Genomic DNA, 22,520 nt, shown 5'->3' on the forward strand with positions numbered 1-22,520 from the left:
TATCATTAACGCTTCACTCCAAGTTTTTGCATGAAGCAAAAGATCCCGACTCTCTTCCACTGATTTTAACTCCATTCAGACATGTCTGTCAACTATTATTTCACTCAGTGGCAGTCAGAAATAAAGAAAAAAAAACAGAGAATATATTTCATGCCATGATCATGAATAATGATTTTTCAAAAATTAATTAATAACCAGTACACATACTTTTAGTGTTTTTACCACATTTAATAGTAACACAATAAATGAGTTTTAATAACATTAGAATGCAATTCAAGACATAAAACAGAACGTATTTGTCCTGTTTGATAAGGCACAAGGAAGAGGGCTTTCTGGGATAAAGGGGTTCCCACAGCAGATGAACACATATCTGATTTGTCTCTGGTCAGAGGTGAACACAGCAAAAGATAGGCCTGAGAGGAGGTGAGAAGGAGCAATTAGGGATGGTGTGTATAGGGGAGCTTTGATTAACATCAACGAAGCTCACAGTTCTAGCTTCACAATCCAGGAATAATCCTACATGGTTGGTAGGTCTTGGGACATACTGCAGTGTAAGTGGGGAGGTGGTAAAGAGGCTGCACTGAATGTCATTCTTAACACACCCAAGACTAAAGAGTCCCTCCTCTCCATGTATATTGCCATTCTGATTCGTCCCTTTCCAATACTTATTACAGACACCAAAGGCCCAATTCCAAGAGTCCCCCACATGGACCTCCCAGTAATATTTGCCAGAGGTGAAAGTCTGAGCACCCCATGCAAGAAAACTTGTAGGTGTTGCAGTGATATGGGGCGCATTTTGACGGTCACATCCAATACAAATGCTTCTCAAATCTCCACGTCGGAAGATATGACTGTTGGCTTCATTATGAGGCAGAGTAATATCCACTGCAAAATAAATAAATAAATAAATAAATAAATAAATAAATAAATAGAAAGAAAGAAAGAAAGAAAACATGCATAGGCATGTGTAGATAAGCAAAAATTGTTCTATCAAGCAGTTAATTTACCAGGAAACGTAAAGTCACAAGGACACTTTTGCTTGTAACTTCTAATAAAGTATAGAGATGATTAATATTATCTACAAGACAGACAAAACGCTAACCACAGATATTAAAGATGTTTTGAAAACTTACATACTGAGAGCCAAATGTAAGACCAACTTCTTTCAATCCAATTTTCAAAGCAAAATTTGCACATTATGTGCCCTAAATGCTATGCTGTTATCAAGATCATTATTTAGAAATGTTTCTTATTCTTAAAAACTAGTGCTATCATTTTGGAAAGAATGTGAAGATGTTCAGTTACTCAAGAACTGCTCTAGATAACTGGGTAAAAATCCATAAGTACATGTCATAAGTGATCATTTAAAGCAGATTTCTGCAAAATCTTTTACCAGTCTCTCTGTTGGCCCTCCATGCTAGCTTGGGGCTGAAGCTGGATTTTAGACTTAACATGTAGCTTTTCATATTGCAATTAAACTGAACTTCTTTTTGTTTGTAATTTTACTTGTATTCACAAAATGATTTCTTTTTATTTTTACCCATTAACTAATTTTCTTGGAAATACATAATATATATCCATTAAAAAAATTAAAAAACCCCAAGAATCTCCAGTGAACTATATTCCCCAAAAGAACAGTTCTTAGCTGTTCAAATGAATACACCAAAGAAATGTAAAATTTTGTATTTAACATTAAATAACTCACCTTCATTCTGAGCATTGTTCCATTTGCTCCTTTTTTAGATTTGCTACACTACTCCTTTTTCCCATTACATTACTCAGTACATATGAGGCCATAATGTATTTGTTTTTCACTATCTTTTAATCTTAATGCTATAAATCTGACTATACAGACACAGATACAAAAGGGTTGCATGATTATATTGTTCACTTATGTCTATAAAGTAGTAAAATATTTGATAAAGGGTGAAATATTACCTATGTGATCCTAACAATAATAAAATTTAGATAGTGGGAGTGCTGCCTGTGGGTGGAGACTTACCTCGGAATTGGTTGAGCCTGTCCCTCAGTCCAGTGATGGGCCCTGCCCTGAGCTCTAGATTCAGAGGCTGGGGCATGTGCAGCAGCACGGACTCACTCCTGCAAGGAAAAACCTGCAGTTACAACATCTACAGCCATAAAATAAATAAAAATCACTACTTGTGTTTAAAAGACATTTCATGAGAATCCTTTGAACCCACAAATTTGATAATTCAAAAATTATTCCTTCCTTTTTGAAATTAATTTCGATTTACAGTTTCCGAATTTTAAAGCACAGTGGGAGAGTCTGAGTCAGAATTCAGTCTGATCTTTCCTATTTTTTGCCCCAAATGTTTAAGGTTCCTTAGCCTTACGGCCTTGAGAATATTTAGAAACGAAATTCTGAGTTCCACTTCTTGGCAGACTCCCCTGACACCTTTGTCTGAAATAGCGGGGTTCTGGGGAGACTGCTGCATCTGCTGCTTCCTTTTCAAGATAAAGAATGTGAAACTTGTTCTAGGCAGCTAGACCTGCCTTTTAGAAACAAGCTTCCCTAGAGACTTATACAGTTCTAACACTCCACAGTTTTTTCAATCTATTTTTCAGAACTGTTAACTGATATGTGTATAGGTATGAACAACAAATCATCAACTTTTTCACTGCTGAAATACTTCTCCCACTTCTCTCCTGCTTCCTCTGGTGACTTTCTCACCATCCACAAAACAAAACTTCATCTTTCACCTATGCAGGCTTTTAAGCAATAAAACAAAGTCAGGAATAAACATTTTTTTTTATTTTACTTCACTATTTATTTATTTATGTATTTATTTACTTAGTGGTCTTGTCTTTTCTGGTGTGGGAACAAAAGTAGATGCAAAAAAGAAATAAAGTGGTATCAATATCTCAATCATTTATGCCAGGACTTTGGTAGAGCCTGCTTTGATATTCGTGGAAAGTGAAAGAACATATGCTAAAATCCAGGTACACTCTCACCTGTGTAATATGTCTCCAAAAGCCTGTAAAAAAAAAAAAAATAGAAAGATTTAGTGCAGTTCACAAGATGCATCTTTCATTAAGTTCAGTGTGAAATTTGGAGTCAGTTCCTCAAGATATTATTTCCCTACCATCTTCTCTTCTGCAAAGCATTTTCTATTTCTTCTGTAACGAAAAACCCAGTCAGTCGTATTGTCACTAATTAATGACCTGGGAAAGTCTGAGTCTTGAAGACATTCTCTAAAGAAGTGAAGGGAGAAGAGGCCCAGAGAGTCTATGCTCCATGGTAACCTCGAATAACCTACTCAGTCATCTTTCCCAGAACCTATTACCCAAATGAGTGGATCCCAAAATAATATTAATGTGAGCCTAGATTCCCAAAACGTCTGATCTTGCCATGTCCTCAAATTAACCTAAATGTAAATGAATCACTCACTATTTTATACATGTTTGACAACCCAAAATGTATTATTGACTTAGTTGGGGAATAGTTATTGGGGCTGTTACCTTGACCATTCCACAAAGTTTTGTGGCTGGTGGATAAAGTAGGAGGGATCTTTGGCCTGGTAGAATCCCTTGGCGGGGCTATACTCTCCCAATAAAGTAGCATTAGTTGTGCGAATGTGTTTTTGGAAACACATCATGGAAATAAAGGTAGGGAGATGGATTTCAGCCATGAGGAAAATACTTATACATGTGAATATTCAAAAACCTGAAACCACATTGTGAGTTTGTACCTGAAGTAGCTCCACATCTGGTTTATGGCACATTTTCATCAGCTCCGCATACGTTCCTCTTAAAATCTCCCTCCTGTGAGCCATTTTGGCTTTACTTAAATGAAGTCGATGAAAAATATCTTTCCCCTTCTTTTTCAGCATCTCCAAATTATGTTTTTCTTCTTCATGATGAAATGCAGGCATCTTCTGATACTCAGCTCTAATAGCTTCTAGCCTTACATTCACATAATCCTGCAGTGATAATGGGTTAGTCAAAAGAGAAATGTATATATCCATCTCCTATTAAATCTCACTGATTCCTTTTGTCTCTCGAACATCCAATAGTTTAAACCTCAGTCTTACCAGTTCTTAGAATCCACAAATTTTTTTCCTTTCCTTTCTTTCTGCATAAAGATCAACATAGATGTATCTGACCAATTACATTAAATTTATTCAAGATAATGAGTGTTCTAAGATAGTTGGAAATAAAAAAAAAAAAACACAATTTGAATTTCTCTATTCCAACCCATATTTATGGAAAAGTAAGACCAGTTCATGCTTAAGAGTTGGAGTATAGAGCTATAGTTACTAGAAAGGAAATAATTATTTCTATTTCTGAGATACGTAACAAGTTGCTTAAACTCATTATATGTGAAATGACCTTAGACTAACATGTCCAGCTAAATGCATTTCGCCCAGCAAAACCTATCCTAATAAGGCTGCATTTATGATTTGGCCATCTTTGTCTCCCTGAATTCATTTCCTTCCATTCTTTTTCTAAGTCAACCCAATCTGAAACATAGACTTCTTTGTGGTTCCCCAGGCCTCCAAATATACACAAACTCAAAATTACTGCATATACTGTTCTCTCCAACTGGAATTTTACACACACACACACACACACACACACACACACACACACACACAAACACACAAACACACATATACATATACATGTATACACACTCATGGTCCACATATATATCCATACACACTTTCGTGCTCCCCTTCCGCTTTGAAACTTTGTTCAATTTGAATTTTTCAGTGAATCTTTTTTTCTGACCACCCTATTTAAAACTCAGACACTAATCTCCAGTTTCTGGCCTCTATTGTCCTTTTCTACTTCCCTGCTTGATTATTCTCCAACAAAGAACCTACCACACTCGAACACATCATGTATTGCACATATTTGCATGTTGACCATTTTTGCCTCTCATTTGGATTGTACGATTTGTGAGGACAAAGATGCTTTCTTTCTTCTATACTGGCAAATTTTCTAATTTAATATTCAACATAGACTAGGTTCTTATGAAATACTTTTCAACACACTACTATTAGCTATCATACCCTCAGAGTATACATCCACAAAGAGAAAATCATTTTTAATATTTTTCTGAAGTCCTCAGAGTTCTCCTTATATTTAGATACTAGTTCCCATATTTCGGGCATGTTTGCATGTCTCCCTCAAGACACAAATCCATATTTCTCACCACTTTTCTCATCATATGTTATGTAGTATTCAATATTAATTAGTTGAGATTCTTAATTTCATGGTTGCCCTAGATTTCCCCTGTCACTCTTTCTGCCTCAAATTTTCCATGCAATTCCAAATACTACTTGTCCACCAGCATTCAGATTAATGCTGACCCAGGCTCAGAAGGTTCACTTGAGCTTTCCATGACTGCCAAATAACTCTCATGCCCAGCATTTATCCAACCAGCACATATAGAATGCTGTGAGATGGCCCAGTATCTTGTATCTGTTGGTGTATAGCTACAGGTTTGTATGAAAACAAACCAGCATGCTTTGGGTAACATCAACGGTTTTGTTAGAAATCCCATCTAACAGTCACACTATTCTACATAAGAAATGAGGCCACTTTTTCTCAATGTTTTCTTTTCTTTTCTTTTTTTTTTTTTTTTTTTTGACTCCCAGAAACATTACGGTTTGATATCAAGTTCCTATTTTAAGAGTCACCCATTTGCCCACCATAAGTTCCTGGAGAAGGTAGACTAGTACAGGACTAACCTTCCAGTGGCTGATTCTGGTGGTTTCCACGTTCAGGTTTCTCTGATTTTCACAAACTTTTTCCCATAAAGACTGCATTTTCTTTAAAAGCTTCTCCTGCAAAAGAGCCATAAATTGAAGCACCAGTGAGGACAATAAAGTAACATGCAGACCGTTTCATAGGGAGGGGGCCCAGAATGAGAGACAAATAAGTCCCCAGTAAATGGCATTTCTTCTGTTTCCCTTCTGCTTCGTCAAATCTCGGAGGTTTGAAGCTAAGAAAGCCCAAAAGAGAGTTGCTTAAAGGGACTCAGAGTTGGCTTTACCCAATCTCCGAGAAAATAGGCCCACAGGAATTTCATGTGTCCTTTACAGAAATAGATCTTCAGAGGCATCACTTACCCGGTGTTCCTCAGCAGCCCACTCAGCGGGACAGTGTCTGTGATACCGGTGCTCCAGAGAGCTGGAGCACAGCAAACAGAGCAGGCTCCTGTCCACTTCACAGAATATCTTCTTTGTCTCCCTGTGAGTGCCACACATTTGCTCCTCAGAGCTCAGGAATAGCCAGAGACTGGCTTTTCTGGCACGGGAAGCCATCTTCTTCAATCGAATGTTAGTTTTGAGGTTTCTCTGCTGTGTTGTCTTTAGGCATTCAAAGCACTGAGTAAGAATTGGGATGTCTTGCCAGTTGAGGTAGAAACAGGGCCTGCAAAAGCTGTGCCCACAGTCTATGGTGACCGGGTCTATGAAGTAGTTCAGGCAGATGGGGCAGGTGAGTTCCCTCTGGAAGACTTGCGAGATTCCAGAATTCATGTTTCTGAGGAAGAAAGAGCAACATGTCATTTTGGGGTCTGGGTTGATGAAAAGCTTCTGAACATGTGGAGATAAGTGATAGCTATAGTTTCTTCTCTTGACAGTGTTCATTAAAGCACAGCAAACTATTTCTTCTGTAACAAAAATAAAAATCTCACACAGAGAGTCTCCCGGCTTTATAGTAGATATTACTGACTAGATGACTCACAACCCCTTCTACTCCTAGTGCCTGTCTGTAACACAATACCAATCTATTCAATTTCCCATTTTTCTGAATGTGGATCTGGAAATTGGGTTTGATTCTAAGTGGCCTAGAATAAATTGTAGTTGTTCCTATTCTTCTTTCATGTAACTGCCGAATGAGTATGAAAGGGTGGGAAAAACTGCCTTGGCCAAAGAAATACGAGAAGATGGCTAGAGGGTCCTATGATATATTTTGAGAGACACAACAGTGGGGCAGCAAACCACCATGGCACATGTTTACCTGTGTAACAAGCCTGCACGTCCTGCACATTTATCTCAGGACTTAAAATAATATAAAATTAAAGTAAAATAAAAAACCAAAACCAAAACGAAATAGAAAAACCAATCAACCAACCAAATAAACAAATAAAAAACAGCAATTAAACCAATTTAGGTTGAATAGAAGAGAAAAAATCATTAAAGATATTGGGCCTTTTTATTTTCTCGTGGGTTAAATTAACTTCTCCTAGGGATACCCAGGCTCTGAACTAACATATAGTAGGATTTTTGTTAAACTTAAAGAGGTGTAATTATATTTCTATGGTGTGATGGTGAATTTTAGGTATCAGTCTGACTGGATTAACCAACACCTAGGGAACTGGTGCAGCATTGTTTCTGGGTGAGTCTGTGAAGGTGTTTCCAGAGGAGAGAGACATGTGAGTTGGTGAGCTGAGTGGGACCATCATCCCTCAATGTGAGTGGGCACCATTCAATCAGCTGGTAGCTCAGATAAAAGGAAAAGGCCAGAAGAAAGGCAATTTCCTCTTTCTTTCTCCTGAAGCTAGTTCTGAGGCTTTCAGCCTTGAGCTCAGTCAAGACACCGGTATCCTCAGGACATCAGCTTAAAGACAGCCTATATTAGAACTGCTCAGACTCCATAATCAAGCAAACGAATTTTCCTGATGAATTCCCTCTCGTGTAGAATCATGTGTAGCTTGAGGACAGATATATGTTCTGAGAAATGTGTAAGGAGGTTTTATTTATTTACTTTTTGAGATGGAGACCCACTGTGTCACCCAGGCTGGAGTGCAGTGGTGCAATCTCGGCTCACTGCAACCTCCGCCTCCTGGGTCAAAGCGAGTCTCCTGCCTTAGCCTCCTGAGTACCTAGGATTACAGGAACATGCCACTACACCCGGCAAATTTTCTCATTTTTTTTTTTCCAGTAGAGATGAGGTTTCGCCATGTTGGCCAGGCTGGACTTGAACTCCTGGCCTCAAGTGATCTGCCCACCACGGCCTCCAAAAGTGCTGGGATTACAGGCATGAGCCACTGTGCCTAGCCGGGCGGTTGTATTGTTTTGACATGATAGAATATACTTATACAAACCTAGATGGTACAGCCTGCTACACACCTATGGTATACAGTACAGCCTGTTGCTCCTAGACTACAAAACTGTACAGCATGTTCTGTACTGTATACTCTAGGCAATTGTAACACAGTGGTAATTATTTAGTATGTAAACATATTTAAATACAGAAAAGGTACAGTAAACACACTGGTATTATAATCTTATGTGACCACCATGTGTGGTTTATGGTTGACTGAATTGGCTCATGAATGTATCTCTACATGTATACATATACATCCTATCATTCTGTCTGTCTGGAGAGCCCTGACTAATATATAAACTATGGTCTTTGGCAATTTTAAGTCCTTTTCTTTACTCTCCTTTATTTGATAACACTGCTGAATTTTAGTGAAAGAAATGAAAAATCTTAGAATTGTAAATATTCTCCAGAGGTCATCTAAGTCATTTTAAGGAATTTTTCATAGTTTAATAAGATTAAGACTCAAGTGAGATGGCAACCACCATCACGTATCAAATTATATCTTATATATGTATTTGGCCAAAAAATTGTGTTTTGATTTCCAAACTAGGATGTTTTGGGGAGCTTTCTCATTTTTTTCAGTTTCACTATTTTGCATCTCTCATCATTACCTTACTAATTTAAAGCTATGTGTAAATGCCGAATGAATGGATTAACATTCATTAACGTCTTCTCAATTCAATTGTATAATATTAATACACTCATTACACACATATTTACACACACCTATGTGTACATACATGTATAAATATCAACTCCATATATTCATTATGCATACATATCTGTTGCAGCAAACACTAGATATTTCCATTTTTTCAAAACTATATTGAAGAATGATAGAAAACGCAAAATAACAACAATTAGTATCCTCATAATTCATAAAATCTATAGTAAGAATATGAATTACAAATGGTATCATTGTGTAGATTTAAGATAATGAGATATTTTTAACACTCTAATTTATTATTTTGTAAAGGAAAGAAGACATAATTTTATCAATATAAGTTTCACTCACCGCTGGGTTCTTTGAAGGGTTCCCACAATGATTCTTCGAGAAATAATTCTGTTAAGTACTCCTCAAGGTCAGGAGCTCATTCGCCGCAGTACTGAGTTTCAGAGGTCACCAAAACACAGCTTCCTCTAAGTGCGCTCCTTCTCCTTTGGAGAAAACTGAGCTTGTCTCTTCTATGTCCTTTTATAAGAATCTGTGAAGGCCACACCCACCTCTTTAAGTGGGTGGAGTATTGAGAAAGGTTGAGAATAAGATGATTAGGTTTATGCAGTATTTAGATCGCACCTTTGCACCGCTGATTAAATTATCATCACTCCTTAAAAAACCATGATTTAAATGAATCATATGTAACATAAATCCTATCAGATTTGACATACACTGGAAATTAACTAAGATGCATTTTATACTGTTTATTGAGCTTCATCCAAGATACAGGCATTCCTCTAAGGGCACATTTATTTATTCTAGAGAAACTGTCTGCTTGTGGAGTGCAGTGGTACAGTCATAGCTCACTGCAGCCTTGAATTCCAAGGCTCAAGGGATCCTCCTGCTTCAGCCTCCCAAGTAGCTAGGACTACAGGCTCAAACCATCCCACCTGGCTAATGTTTTTTTAAAACTTTTCATAGAGTCAGGGTATGGCTCTGTAGCCCAGGCTGTTCTCCAACTCCTGTCTTCAAGTAATCCTCTGGTCTTGGACTTCCAAAATGCTTGGGAGTACAGGCATAAACCACCTCATCCAGCCTTAAATGCTGCTTTAGTACATTTATAGGATATTCGAAGAGAAGTCCAACAGGAAGATAAAACTTTTTTTGTTTTCTACCACTCTAAGAGAAATCACTGACTAACCAAATAACTCTACTAATTTGAGGTCTCTTACTGAATTTACAAACCTTTGCCAATCTCGTGGGTGAAATACGAGTTATTATTTTAATGCTTTTCTCCACATGGTGCATGATGTTCTGCCATGACTAGAAATGCAATATAGTAATTAATTTGGGGATTATAAACAAGTTTTAGGACGTAGGCTAATTCACAAATACAGAATCCAAATGATAGGGATGGATTATATTTTTCTTTCTATAACAAATATTTTTGTTGTCATGTGACAATTTAAAAAAGAAAAGAGATTTAAGAAGCGGCTACTCAAATATATTCTGACAGAGGAATTCTTTGCCAATAGCCCCCACAAGACTTATATTCAAGAGTGTCAGAACAGTGAAGACAAATCTGTCAGCCCTATGTCTGTCAAGGTTCAAAAATCAAAGCAGATCCCATAATATATATGAATACTTAGGGAGATTCACATATGAATTAAGTGCAAGGAACCGGTTTCCACAGTTGATGGGCTGCCTGAGCAAGTATGAGATCCCTGTTAAAGTCAGTTAGGAAGAAAAATCCTCAGCTGGCTGGATCCCAATGGTCAGGATTCAAAGCTTTGGTCCAAAGTCATTAGGGGGCAACTGGAAGATTACAGTCCCATTCGCTATTTTAAATGTTGTTCAAGGAATGCCTATGTCTTTCTTTAAGGGACTTTCACTGATGAAGTCAGGCTTACCTGAGTACACTTGCTAGTTACAAGAGCAGGACCTTTCGTTACATCTGCAAAATACCTTCCCAGTAGGTCCTACGTGAGTGTTTCATTGAATAACAATAAGAAAGTTTGTCTATGCCACAAAGTCCAGTTTCATTCTCCTACATGTGGCTTGCCAATTATCCCAGCACCATTTGTTGAATAGGGTGTCCTCTCCCCACTTTATGTTTTTGTTTGCTTTGTCAAAGATCAGTTGGTTGTTAAGTATTTGGGTTCATTTCTGGGTTCTCTATTCTGTTCCACTGGTCTATGTGCCTATTTTTGTACCAGTACCATGCTGTTTTGGTGATGAATAAAGGCCTGGAGTATGGGGATGTAATGCTCAGGGGCCAGACAGTCGGCTGCAGCAGCACAGCCTCATCCAGCAATTAGAGAGGGGATAGGAACAGAGAAAGGTGGGGAAGACTAGAGGCAGGTTTATGAAAGGAATCAGAGCCCTTGGTTGGGTCGAAATGGGGGTGGAGGGAGATTCCAGCTTGTCTTCTGCAGCATGAATACCTTGACCCCCTGCCACAAACAGACATCTATACACAACAGCTCTCCTGTGACTGAGATTCTTGGTTATTTTCTTGCTTGATGCAGCAGTGAGTGGTTAGAGAGGTAACTGACCAGGTACCTAAGCCCTCTGCCCATGGGTACTGTTGGGAATCTTGGCTTTTTAGCTCCAAGGAAGCTACAGCAAATTTTCAGGGGAATGGCCTGGTTTGTGGCCCAGATTTCTTGGCATTGTCATGTCCCACTGGTCGGCAGCTGAGGGTCCTTCTGCTCTAACCTGAGAATAGACAAAACAATTGTTGGTTACCCTAAAGTGTTCACGGCTGTCATATCTGTGGCTAGAGAAAGTTTTATTGGCTTTAGTTAGTGTTTTCAGACAATTTGTAAATCATCTTTCAGTTAAATTGTGAAGTTGATCTGTTTTACTCTGTTGTTTAAAAATTAAGAAGGAAAATTATAGAAATACTGTTCTTTTAAAGATATTTTATTGTTTTTGTTTAATTTTTATTTGGATATGTTTATTTTTTATTTTGTGTTGCTTTGTAACTGAAAATCATATTGACTTCATTTAGCTTTAAAACGTTATTATTTTGAAAACTATTTAACTAAATGTATAAGTGGAGCTATGGAAAAAATATCGTATATGTAAGGGTAGACTTGGTAGTCAGATCCAGTAAGAGCTAAGCAAGTAATTTCAATGTTTGGGAGGCAGAGATCGGAGGATCCCTTGAGCCCAGAAGTTCGAGGTTACAGTGAACTATGATTGCACCACTACACTCCAGCCTGGGCAACAGAGCAAGGCACAGCCTCTTAATAAAAATCTGCATTTTACTGGGTGAGGGACACTGATAGTGTTACTCTCCCCTCCCATTATTAGATAGATCAAAAAAAATGTGAGAATAAAAGCCACCCTGCTGATGGCAGTGAGGACTGCATGCAGTGTGTGCCAAGAACAACACGGTGTCCAGCATGACATCCTCTTCACTGATATCCTCTTCCTCTCTTCTTGCCATTTTCTTTATTTTACAAAATTCATTGCTATATAGGGAAGAATGAGAGGAAAAGATGGCATGGACTGGTCCAAAATTATACAAGGAAAAAATAAAATGAGAAGTTACCAGATGACATAGAAAAGGGTTCCTCAGACATACAGAGACCAGGAGACAAAAGAGAAATGTTCTCTTAGCAGAGAAGAATAACTCTGAAGATGTTCTCTGTTGGGAGAAATCCAGCAGCCAACACATTAGCAATCAAATATTTTATCAAGGGTATAAATATTGGTTTTGCAAAGTTGTTAACCATTGGTCTGCTTCAAGATAGAATATTTTCAAATTGCAAATTTTATTAGGAACCAATTTTTACACCACTTTCCAGAAGTAAATCAATTGACTCAAGGAAGAAAATTGCATCAAGCAAGAAAATAACCAAGAATGTCAGTCACAGGAGAGCTGCTGTGTATAGATGTCTGGTTTTTTAAGGAGTGATGATAATTTAATCAGCGGTGCAAAGGTGCGATCTAAATACTGCATAAACCTAATCATCTTATTCTCAACCTTTCTCAATACTCCACCCACTTAAAGAGGTGGGTGTGGCCTTCACAGATTCTTATAAAAGGACATAGAAGAGACAAGCTCAGTTTTCTCCAAAGGAGAAGGAGCGCACTTAGAGGAAGCTGTGTTTTGGTGACCTCTGAAACTCAGTACTGCGGCGAATGAGCTCCTGACCTTGAGGAGTACTTAACAGAATTATTTCTCGAAGAATCATTGTGGGAACCCTTCAAAGAACCCAGCGGTGAGTGAAACTTATATTGATAAAATTATGTCTTCTTTCCTTTACAAAATAATAAATTAGAGTGTTAAAAATATCTCATTATCTTAAATCTACACAATGATACCATTTGTAATTCATATTCTTACTATAGATTTTATGAATTATGAGGATACTAATTGTTGTTATTTTGCGTTTTCTATCATTCTTCAATATAGTTTTGAAAAAATGGAAATATCTAGTGTTTGCTGCAACAGATATGTATGCATAATGAATATATGGAGTTGATATTTATACATGTATGTACACATAGGTGTGTGTAAATATGTGTGTAATGAGTGTATTAATATTATACAATTGAATTGAGAAGACGTTAATGAATGTTAATCCATTCATTCGGCATTTACACATAGCTTTAAATTAGTAAGGTAATGATGAGAGATGCAAAATAGTGAAACTGAAAAAAATGAGAAAGCTCCCCAAAACATCCTAGTTTGGAAATCAAAACACAATTTTTTGGCCAAATACATATATAAGATATAATTTGATACGTGATGGTGGTTGCCATCTCACTTGAGTCTTAATCTTATTAAACTATGAAAAATTCCTTAAAATGACTTAGATGACCTCTGGAGAATATTTACAATTCTAAGATTTTTCATTTCTTTCACTAAAATTCAGCAGTGTTATCAAATAAAGGAGAGTAAAGAAAAGGACTTAAAATTGCCAAAGACCATAGTTTATATATTAGTCAGGGCTCTCCAGACAGACAGAATGATAGGATGTATATGTATACATGTAGAGATACATTCATGAGCCAATTCAGTCAACCATAAACCACACATGGTGGTCACATAAGATTATAATACCAGTGTGTTTACTGTACCTTTTCTGTATTTAAATATGTTTACATACTAAATAATTACCACTGTGTTACAATTGCCTAGAGTATACAGTACAGAACATGCTGTACAGTTTTGTAGTCTAGGAGCAACAGGCTGTACTGTATACCATAGGTGTGTAGCAGGCTGTACCATCTAGGTTTGTATAAGTATATTCTATCATGTCAAAACAATACAACCGCCCGGCTAGGCACAGTGGCTCATGCCTGTAATCCCAGCACTTTTGGAGGCCGTGGTGGGCAGATCACTTGAGGCCAGGAGTTCAAGTCCAGCCTGGCCAACATGGCGAAACCTCATCTCTACTGGAAAAAAAAAAATGAGAAAATTTGCCGGGTGTAGTGGCATGTTCCTGTAATCCTAGGTACTCAGGAGGCTAAGGCAGGAGACTCGCTTTGACCCAGGAGGCGGAGGTTGCAGTGAGCCGAGATTGCACCACTGCACTCCAGCCTGGGTGACACAGTGGGTCTCCATCTCAAAAAGTAAATAAATAAAACCTCCTTACACATTTCTCAGAACATATATCTGTCCTCAAGCTACACATGATTCTACACGAGAGGGAATTCATCAGGAAAATTCGTTTGCTTGATTATGGAGTCTGAGCAGTTCTAATATAGGCTGTCTTTAAGCTGATGTCCTGAGGATACCGGTGTCTTGACTGAGCTCAAGGCTGAAAGCCTCAGAACTAGCTTCAGGAGAAAGAAAGAGGAAATTGCCTTTCTTCTGGCCTTTTCCTTTTATCTGAGCTACCAGCTGATTGAATGGTGCCCACTCACATTGAGGGATGATGGTCCCACTCAGCTCACCAACTCACATGTCTCTCTCCTCTGGAAACACCTTCACAGACTCACCCAGAAACAATGCTGCACCAGTTCCCTAGGTGTTGGTTAATCCAGTCAGACTGATACCTAAAATTCACCATCACACCATAGAAATATAATTACACCTCTTTAAGTTTAACAAAAATCCTACTATATGTTAGTTCAGAGCCTGGGTATCCCTAGGAGAAGTTAATTTAACCCACGAGAAAATAAAAAGGCCCAATATCTTTAATGATTTTTTCTCTTCTATTCAACCTAAATTGGTTTAATTGCTGTTTTTTATTTGTTTATTTGGTTGGTTGATTGGTTTTTCTATTTCGTTTTGGTTTTGGTTTTTTATTTTACTTTAATTTTATATTATTTTAAGTCCTGAGATAAATGTGCAGGACGTGCAGGCTTGTTACACAGGTAAACATGTGCCATGGTGGTTTGCTGCCCCACTGTTGTGTCTCTCAAAATATATCATAGGACCCTCTAGCCATCTTCTCGTATTTCTTTGGCCAAGGCAGTTTTTCCCACCCTTTCATACTCATTCGGCAGTTACATGAAAGAAGAATAGGAACAACTACAATTTATTCTAGGCCACTTAGAATCAAACCCAATTTCCAGATCCACATTCAGAAAAATGGGAAATTGAATAGATTGGTATTGTGTTACAGACAGGCACTAGGAGTAGAAGGGGTTGTGAGTCATCTAGTCAGTAATATCTACTATAAAGCCGGGAGACTCTCTGTGTGAGATTTTTATTTTTGTTACAGAAGAAATAGTTTGCTGTGCTTTAATGAACACTGTCAAGAGAAGAAACTATAGCTATCACTTATCTCCACATGTTCAGAAGCTTTTCATCAACCCAGACCCCAAAATGACATGTTGCTCTTTCTTCCTCAGAAACATGAATTCTGGAATCTCGCAAGTCTTCCAGAGGGAACTCACCTGCCCCATCTGCCTGAACTACTTCATAGACCCGGTCACCATAGACTGTGGGCACAGCTTTTGCAGGCCCTGTTTCTACCTCAACTGGCAAGACATCCCAATTCTTACTCAGTGCTTTGAATGCCTAAAGACAACACAGCAGAGAAACCTCAAAACTAACATTCGATTGAAGAAGATGGCTTCCCGTGCCAGAAAAGCCAGTCTCTGGCTATTCCTGAGCTCTGAGGAGCAAATGTGTGGCACTCACAGGGAGACAAAGAAGATATTCTGTGAAGTGGACAGGAGCCTGCTCTGTTTGCTGTGCTCCAGCTCTCTGGAGCACCGGTATCACAGACACTGTCCCGCTGAGTGGGCTGCTGAGGAACACCGGGTAAGTGATGCCTCTGAAGATCTATTTCTGTAAAGGACACATGAAATTCCTGTGGGCCTATTTTCTCGGAGATTGGGTAAAGCCAACTCTGAGTCCCTTTAAGCAACTCTCTTTTGGGCTTTCTTAGCTTCAAACCTCCGAGATTTGACGAAGCAGAAGGGAAACAGAAGAAATGCCATTTACTGGGGACTTATTTGTCTCTCATTCTGGGCCCCCTCCCTATGAAACGGTCTGCATGTTACTTTATTGTCCTCACTGGTGCTTCAATTTATGGCTCTTTTGCAGGAGAAGCTTTTAAAGAAAATGCAGTCTTTATGGGAAAAAGTTTGTGAAAATCAGAGAAACCTGAACGTGGAAACCACCAGAATCAGCCACTGGAAGGTTAGTCCTGTACTAGTCTACCTTCTCCAGGAACTTATGGTGGGCAAATGGGTGACTCTTAAAATAGGAACTTGATATCAAACCGTAATGTTTCTGGGAGTCAAAAAAAAAAAAAAAAAAAAGAAAAGAAAAGAAAACATTGAGAAAAAGTGGCCTCATTTCTTATGTAGAATAGTGTGACTGTTAGATGGGATTTCTAACAAAACCGTTGATGTTACCCAAAGCATGCTGGTTTGTTTTCATACAAACCTGTAGCTATACACCAACAGATACAAGATACTGGGCCATCTCACAGCATTCTATATGTGCTGGTTGGATAAATGCTGGGCATGAGAGTTATTTGGCAGTCATGGAAAGCTCAAGTGAACCTTCTGAGCCTGGGTCAGCATTAATCTGAATGCTGGTGGACAAGTAGTATTTGGAATTGCATGGAAAATTTGAGGCAGAAAGAGTGACAGGGGAAATCTAGGGCAACCATGAAATTAAGAATCTCAACTAATTAATATTGAATACTACATAACATATGATGAGAAAAGTGGTGAGAAATATGGATTTGTGTCTTGAGGGAGACATGCAAACATGCCCGAAATATGGGAACTAGTATCTAAATATAAGGAGAACTCTGAGGACTTCAGAAAAATATTAAAAATGATTTTCTCTTTGTGGATGTATACTCTGAGGGTATGATAGCTAATAGTAGTGTGTTGAAAAGTATTTCATAAGAACCTAGTCTATGTTGAATATTAAATTAGAAAATTTGCCAGTATAGAAGAAAGAAAGCATCTTTGTCCTCACAAATCGTACAATCCAAATGAGAGGCAAAAATGGTCAACATGCAAATATGTGCAATACATGATGTGTTCGAGTGTGGTAGGTTCTTTGTTGGAGAATAATCAAGCAGGGAAGTAGAAAAGGACAATAGAGGCCAGAAACTGGAGATTAGTGTCTGAGTTTTAAATAGGGTGGTCAGAAAAAAAGATTCACTGAAAAATTCAAATTGAACAAAGTTTCAAAGCGGAAGGGGAGCACGAAAGTGTGTATGGATATATATGTGGACCATGAGTGTGTATACATGTATATGTATATGTGTGTTTGTGTGTTTGTGTGTGTGTGTGTGTGTGTGTGTGTGTGTGTGTGTGTGTGTAAAATTCCAGTTGGAGAGAACAGTATATGCAGTAATTTTGAGTTTGTGTATATTTGGAGGCCTGGGGAACCACAAAGAAGTCTATGTTTCAGATTGGGTTGACTTAGAAAAAGAATGGAAGGAAATGAATTCAGGGAGACAAAGATGGCCAAATCATAAATGCAGCCTTATTAGGATAGGTTTTGCTGGGCGAAATGCATTTAGCTGGACATGTTAGTCTAAGGTCATTTCACATATAATGAGTTTAAGCAACTTGTTACGTATCTCAGAAATAGAAATAATTATTTCCTTTCTAGTAACTATAGCTCTATACTCCAACTCTTAAGCATGAACTGGTCTTACTTTTCCATAAATATGGGTTGGAATAGAGAAATTCAAATTGTGTTTTTTTTTTTTTATTTCCAACTATCTTAGAACACTCATTATCTTGAATAAATTTAATGTAATTGGTCAGATACATCTATGTTGATCTTTATGCAGAAAGAAAGGAAAGGAAAAAAATTTGTGGATTCTAAGAACTGGTAAGACTGAGGTTTAAACTATTGGATGTTCGAGAGACAAAAGGAATCAGTGAGATTTAATAGGAGATGGATATATACATTTCTCTTTTGACTAACCCATTATCACTGCAGGATTATGTGAATGTAAGGCTAGAAGCTATTAGAGCTGAGTATCAGAAGATGCCTGCATTTCATCATGAAGAAGAAAAACATAATTTGGAGATGCTGAAAAAGAAGGGGAAAGATATTTTTCATCGACTTCATTTAAGTAAAGCCAAAATGGCTCACAGGAGGGAGATTTTAAGAGGAACGTATGCGGAGCTGATGAAAATGTGCCATAAACCAGATGTGGAGCTACTTCAGGTACAAACTCACAATGTGGTTTCAGGTTTTTGAATATTCACATGTATAAGTATTTTCCTCATGGCTGAAATCCATCTCCCTACCTTTATTTCCATGATGTGTTTCCAAAAACACATTCGCACAACTAATGCTACTTTATTGGGAGAGTATAGCCCCGCCAAGGGATTCTACCAGGCCAAAGATCCCTCCTACTTTATCCACCAGCCACAAAACTTTGTGGAATGGTCAAGGTAACAGCCCCAATAACTATTCCCCAACTAAGTCAATAATACATTTTGGGTTGTCAAACATGTATAAAATAGTGAGTGATTCATTTACATTTAGGTTAATTTGAGGACATGGCAAGATCAGACGTTTTGGGAATCTAGGCTCACATTAATATTATTTTGGGATCCACTCATTTGGGTAATAGGTTCTGGGAAAGATGACTGAGTAGGTTATTCGAGGTTACCATGGAGCATAGACTCTCTGGGCCTCTTCTCCCTTCACTTCTTTAGAGAATGTCTTCAAGACTCAGACTTTCCCAGGTCATTAATTAGTGACAATACGACTGACTGGGTTTTTCGTTACAGAAGAAATAGAAAATGCTTTGCAGAAGAGAAGATGGTAGGGAAATAATATCTTGAGGAACTGACTCCAAATTTCACACTGAACTTAATGAAAGATGCATCTTGTGAACTGCACTAAATCTTTCTATTTTTTTTTTTTTTACAGGCTTTTGGAGACATATTACACAGGTGAGAGTGTACCTGGATTTTAGCATATGTTCTTTCACTTTCCACGAATATCAAAGCAGGCTCTACCAAAGTCCTGGCATAAATGATTGAGATATTGATACCACTTTATTTCTTTTTTGCATCTACTTTTGTTCCCACACCAGAAAAGACAAGACCACTAAGTAAATAAATACATAAATAAATAAATAGTGAAGTAAAATAAAAAAAAATGTTTATTCCTGACTTTGTTTTATTGCTTAAAAGCCTGCATAGGTGAAAGATGAAGTTTTGTTTTGTGGATGGTGAGAAAGTCACCAGAGGAAGCAGGAGAGAAGTGGGAGAAGTATTTCAGCAGTGAAAAAGTTGATGATTTGTTGTTCATACCTATACACATATCAGTTAACAGTTCTGAAAAATAGATTGAAAAAACTGTGGAGTGTTAGAACTGTATAAGTCTCTAGGGAAGCTTGTTTCTAAAAGGCAGGTCTAGCTGCCTAGAACAAGTTTCACATTCTTTATCTTGAAAAGGAAGCAGCAGATGCAGCAGTCTCCCCAGAACCCCGCTATTTCAGACAAAGGTGTCAGGGGAGTCTGCCAAGAAGTGGAACTCAGAATTTCGTTTCTAAATATTCTCAAGGCCGTAAGGCTAAGGAACCTTAAACATTTGGGGCAAAAAATAGGAAAGATCAGACTGAATTCTGACTCAGACTCTCCCACTGTGCTTTAAAATTCGGAAACTGTAAATCGAAATTAATTTCAAAAAGGAAGGAATAATTTTTGAATTATCAAATTTGTGGGTTCAAAGGATTCTCATGAAATGTCTTTTAAACACAAGTAGTGATTTTTATTTATTTTATGGCTGTAGATGTTGTAACTGCAGGTTTTTCCTTGCAGGAGTGAGTCCGTGCTGCTGCACATGCCCCAGCCTCTGAATCTAGAGCTCAGGGCAGGGCCCATCACTGGACTGAGGGACAGGCTCAACCAATTCCGAGGTAAGTCTCCACCCACAGGCAGCACTCCCACTATCTAAATTTTATTATTGTTAGGATCACATAGGTAATATTTCACCCTTTATCAAATATTTTACTACTTTATAGACATAAGTGAACAATATAATCATGCAACCCTTTTGTATCTGTGTCTGTATAGTCAGATTTATAGCATTAAGATTAAAAGATAGTGAAAAACAAATACATTATGGCCTCATATGTACTGAGTAATGTAATGGGAAAAAGGAGTAGTGTAGCAAATCTAAAAAAGGAGCAAATGGAACAATGCTCAGAATGAAGGTGAGTTATTTAATGTTAAATACAAAATTTTACATTTCTTTGGTGTATTCATTTGAACAGCTAAGAACTGTTCTTTTGGGGAATATAGTTCACTGGAGATTCTTGGGGTTTTTTAATTTTTTTAATGGATATATATTATGTATTTCCAAGAAAATTAGTTAATGGGTAAAAATAAAAAGAAATCATTTTGTGAATACAAGTAAAATTACAAACAAAAAGAAGTTCAGTTTAATTGCAATATGAAAAGCTACATGTTAAGTCTAAAATCCAGCTTCAGCCCCAAGCTAGCATGGAGGGCCAACAGAGAGACTGGTAAAAGATTTTGCAGAAATCTGCTTTAAATGATCACTTATGACATGTACTTATGGATTTTTACCCAGTTATCTAGAGCAGTTCTTGAGTAACTGAACATCTTCACATTCTTTCCAAAATGATAGCACTAGTTTTTAAGAATAAGAAACATTTCTAAATAATGATCTTGATAACAGCATAGCATTTAGGGCACATAATGTGCTAATTTTGCTTTGAAAATTGGATTGAAAGAAGTTGGTCTTACATTTGGCTCTCAGTATGTAAGTTTTCAAAACATCTTTAATATCTGTGGTTAGCGTTTTGTCTGTCTTGTAGATAATATTAATCATCTCTATACTTTATTAGAAGTTACAAGCAAAAGTGTCCTTGTGACTTTACGTTTCCTGGTAAATTAACTGCTTGATAGAACAATTTTTGCTTATCTACACATGCCTATGCATGTTTTCTTTCTTTCTTTCTTTCTTTTTATTTATTTATTTATTTATTTATTTATTTATTTATTTTGCAGTGGATATTACTCTGCCTCATAATGAAGCCAACAGTCATATCTTCCGACGTGGAGATTTGAGAAGCATTTGTATTGGATGTGACCGTCAAAATGCGCCCCATATCACTGCAACACCTACAAGTTTTCTTGCATGGGGTGCTCAGACTTTCACCTCTGGCAAATATTACTGGGAGGTCCATGTGGGGGACTCTTGGAATTGGGCCTTTGGTGTCTGTAATAAGTATTGGAAAGGGACGAATCAGAATGGCAATATACATGGAGAGGAGGGACTCTTTAGTCTTGGGTGTGTTAAGAATGACATTCAGTGCAGCCTCTTTACCACCTCCCCACTTACACTGCAGTATGTCCCAAGACCTACCAACCATGTAGGATTATTCCTGGATTGTGAAGCTAGAACTGTGAGCTTCGTTGATGTTAATCAAAGCTCCCCTATACACACCATCCCTAATTGCTCCTTCTCACCTCCTCTCAGGCCTATCTTTTGCTGTGTTCACCTCTGACCAGAGACAAATCAGATATGTGTTCATCTGCTGTGGGAACCCCTTTATCCCAGAAAGCCCTCTTCCTTGTGCCTTATCAAACAGGACAAATACGTTCTGTTTTATGTCTTGAATTGCATTCTAATGTTATTAAAACTCATTTATTGTGTTACTATTAAATGTGGTAAAAACACTAAAAGTGTGTGTACTGGTTATTAATTAATTTTTGAAAAATCATTATTCATGATCATGGCATGAAATATATTCTCTGTTTTTTTTTCTTTATTTCTGACTGCCACTGAGTGAAATAATAGTTGACAGACATGTCTGAATGGAGTTAAAATCAGTGGAAGAGAGTCGGGATCTTTTGCTTCATGCAAAAACTTGGAGTGAAGCGTTAATGATAACTGGGAAATGCTGTTTTTCTTTCTCTTTATCTAACTGTGTTGCACTTATCCATCATGTTTCATTGTACTAATCTATCCTTTGAGTTAATATCATTTGACCTTCCATGCTGGGCTTCATTTTGGAATTCTCACCACATATATAAATAATCCCGCATTATTAGTGTGCTCTTCTACATTGAAATACACAAGGTGGTCAGAACAATGCTGGATTAATTGAATTTTTTTTAAAAAAGTAACTAAATATTGACTCCTACCTCAAAACACACACAGTCATTTCCAAATAGATTCAAGTCCTGAAGATTCAAGTCCTGATACAATATTCTCATAAGGATTTCTTAACCAGGACAAAAATTAACAATTAAAAAAAATTAGTTGGTTTATATTCATGAGGACTTCTGTGTTTCAAAAAACATGATACAAGAATTGAAATGCAAACAATTAGTGGAGAAA

The 22,520-nt window shown here is 37.5% G+C and overlaps 2 protein-coding genes across 3 annotated transcripts; one reads left to right on the top strand and one right to left on the bottom strand.

The window, feature by feature from the left end:
- Positions 1-207: 207 nt before the first annotated feature.
- TRIM49D1 (tripartite motif containing 49D1) lies at positions 208-11,044 on the bottom strand. Of its 2 annotated transcripts, NM_001384911.1 has the most exons (8): positions 10,651-11,044; positions 9,098-9,308; positions 6,099-6,513; positions 5,718-5,813; positions 3,711-3,941; positions 2,974-2,996; positions 2,003-2,100; positions 208-885 (listed from the first exon to the last, which is right to left on the bottom strand). In NM_001384911.1, the coding sequence occupies exons 3-8, from the start codon at positions 6,507-6,509 to the stop codon at positions 386-388; spliced, it is 1,359 nt and encodes a 452-aa protein (NP_001371840.1). In that variant the 5' UTR covers positions 6,510-6,513; positions 9,098-9,308; positions 10,651-11,044; the 3' UTR covers positions 208-385. The 2 variants fall into 2 exon arrangements, with proteins under 2 accessions (NP_001371840.1, NP_001193556.1); NM_001206627.2 differs by lacking the exon at positions 10,651-11,044 and having other exon boundaries at positions 9,098-9,246.
- Positions 11,045-12,862: 1,818 nt separating this feature from the next.
- TRIM49D2 (tripartite motif containing 49D2) lies at positions 12,863-21,862 on the top strand. The gene is made up of 7 exons (NM_001105522.1): positions 12,863-12,972; positions 15,557-15,971; positions 16,257-16,352; positions 18,129-18,359; positions 19,074-19,096; positions 19,970-20,067; positions 21,185-21,862. Exons 2-7 carry the CDS (start codon positions 15,561-15,563, stop codon positions 21,682-21,684), a joined length of 1,359 nt encoding a protein of 452 aa, NP_001098992.1. The 5' UTR covers positions 12,863-12,972; positions 15,557-15,560; the 3' UTR covers positions 21,685-21,862.
- The last annotated feature ends 658 nt before the right edge of the window (positions 21,863-22,520 follow it).

The sequence above is a fragment of the Homo sapiens genome, chromosome 11 (assembly GCF_000001405.40).
Source record: "Homo sapiens chromosome 11, GRCh38.p14 Primary Assembly".
Lineage (NCBI taxonomy): Eukaryota > Metazoa > Chordata > Mammalia > Primates > Hominidae > Homo > Homo sapiens.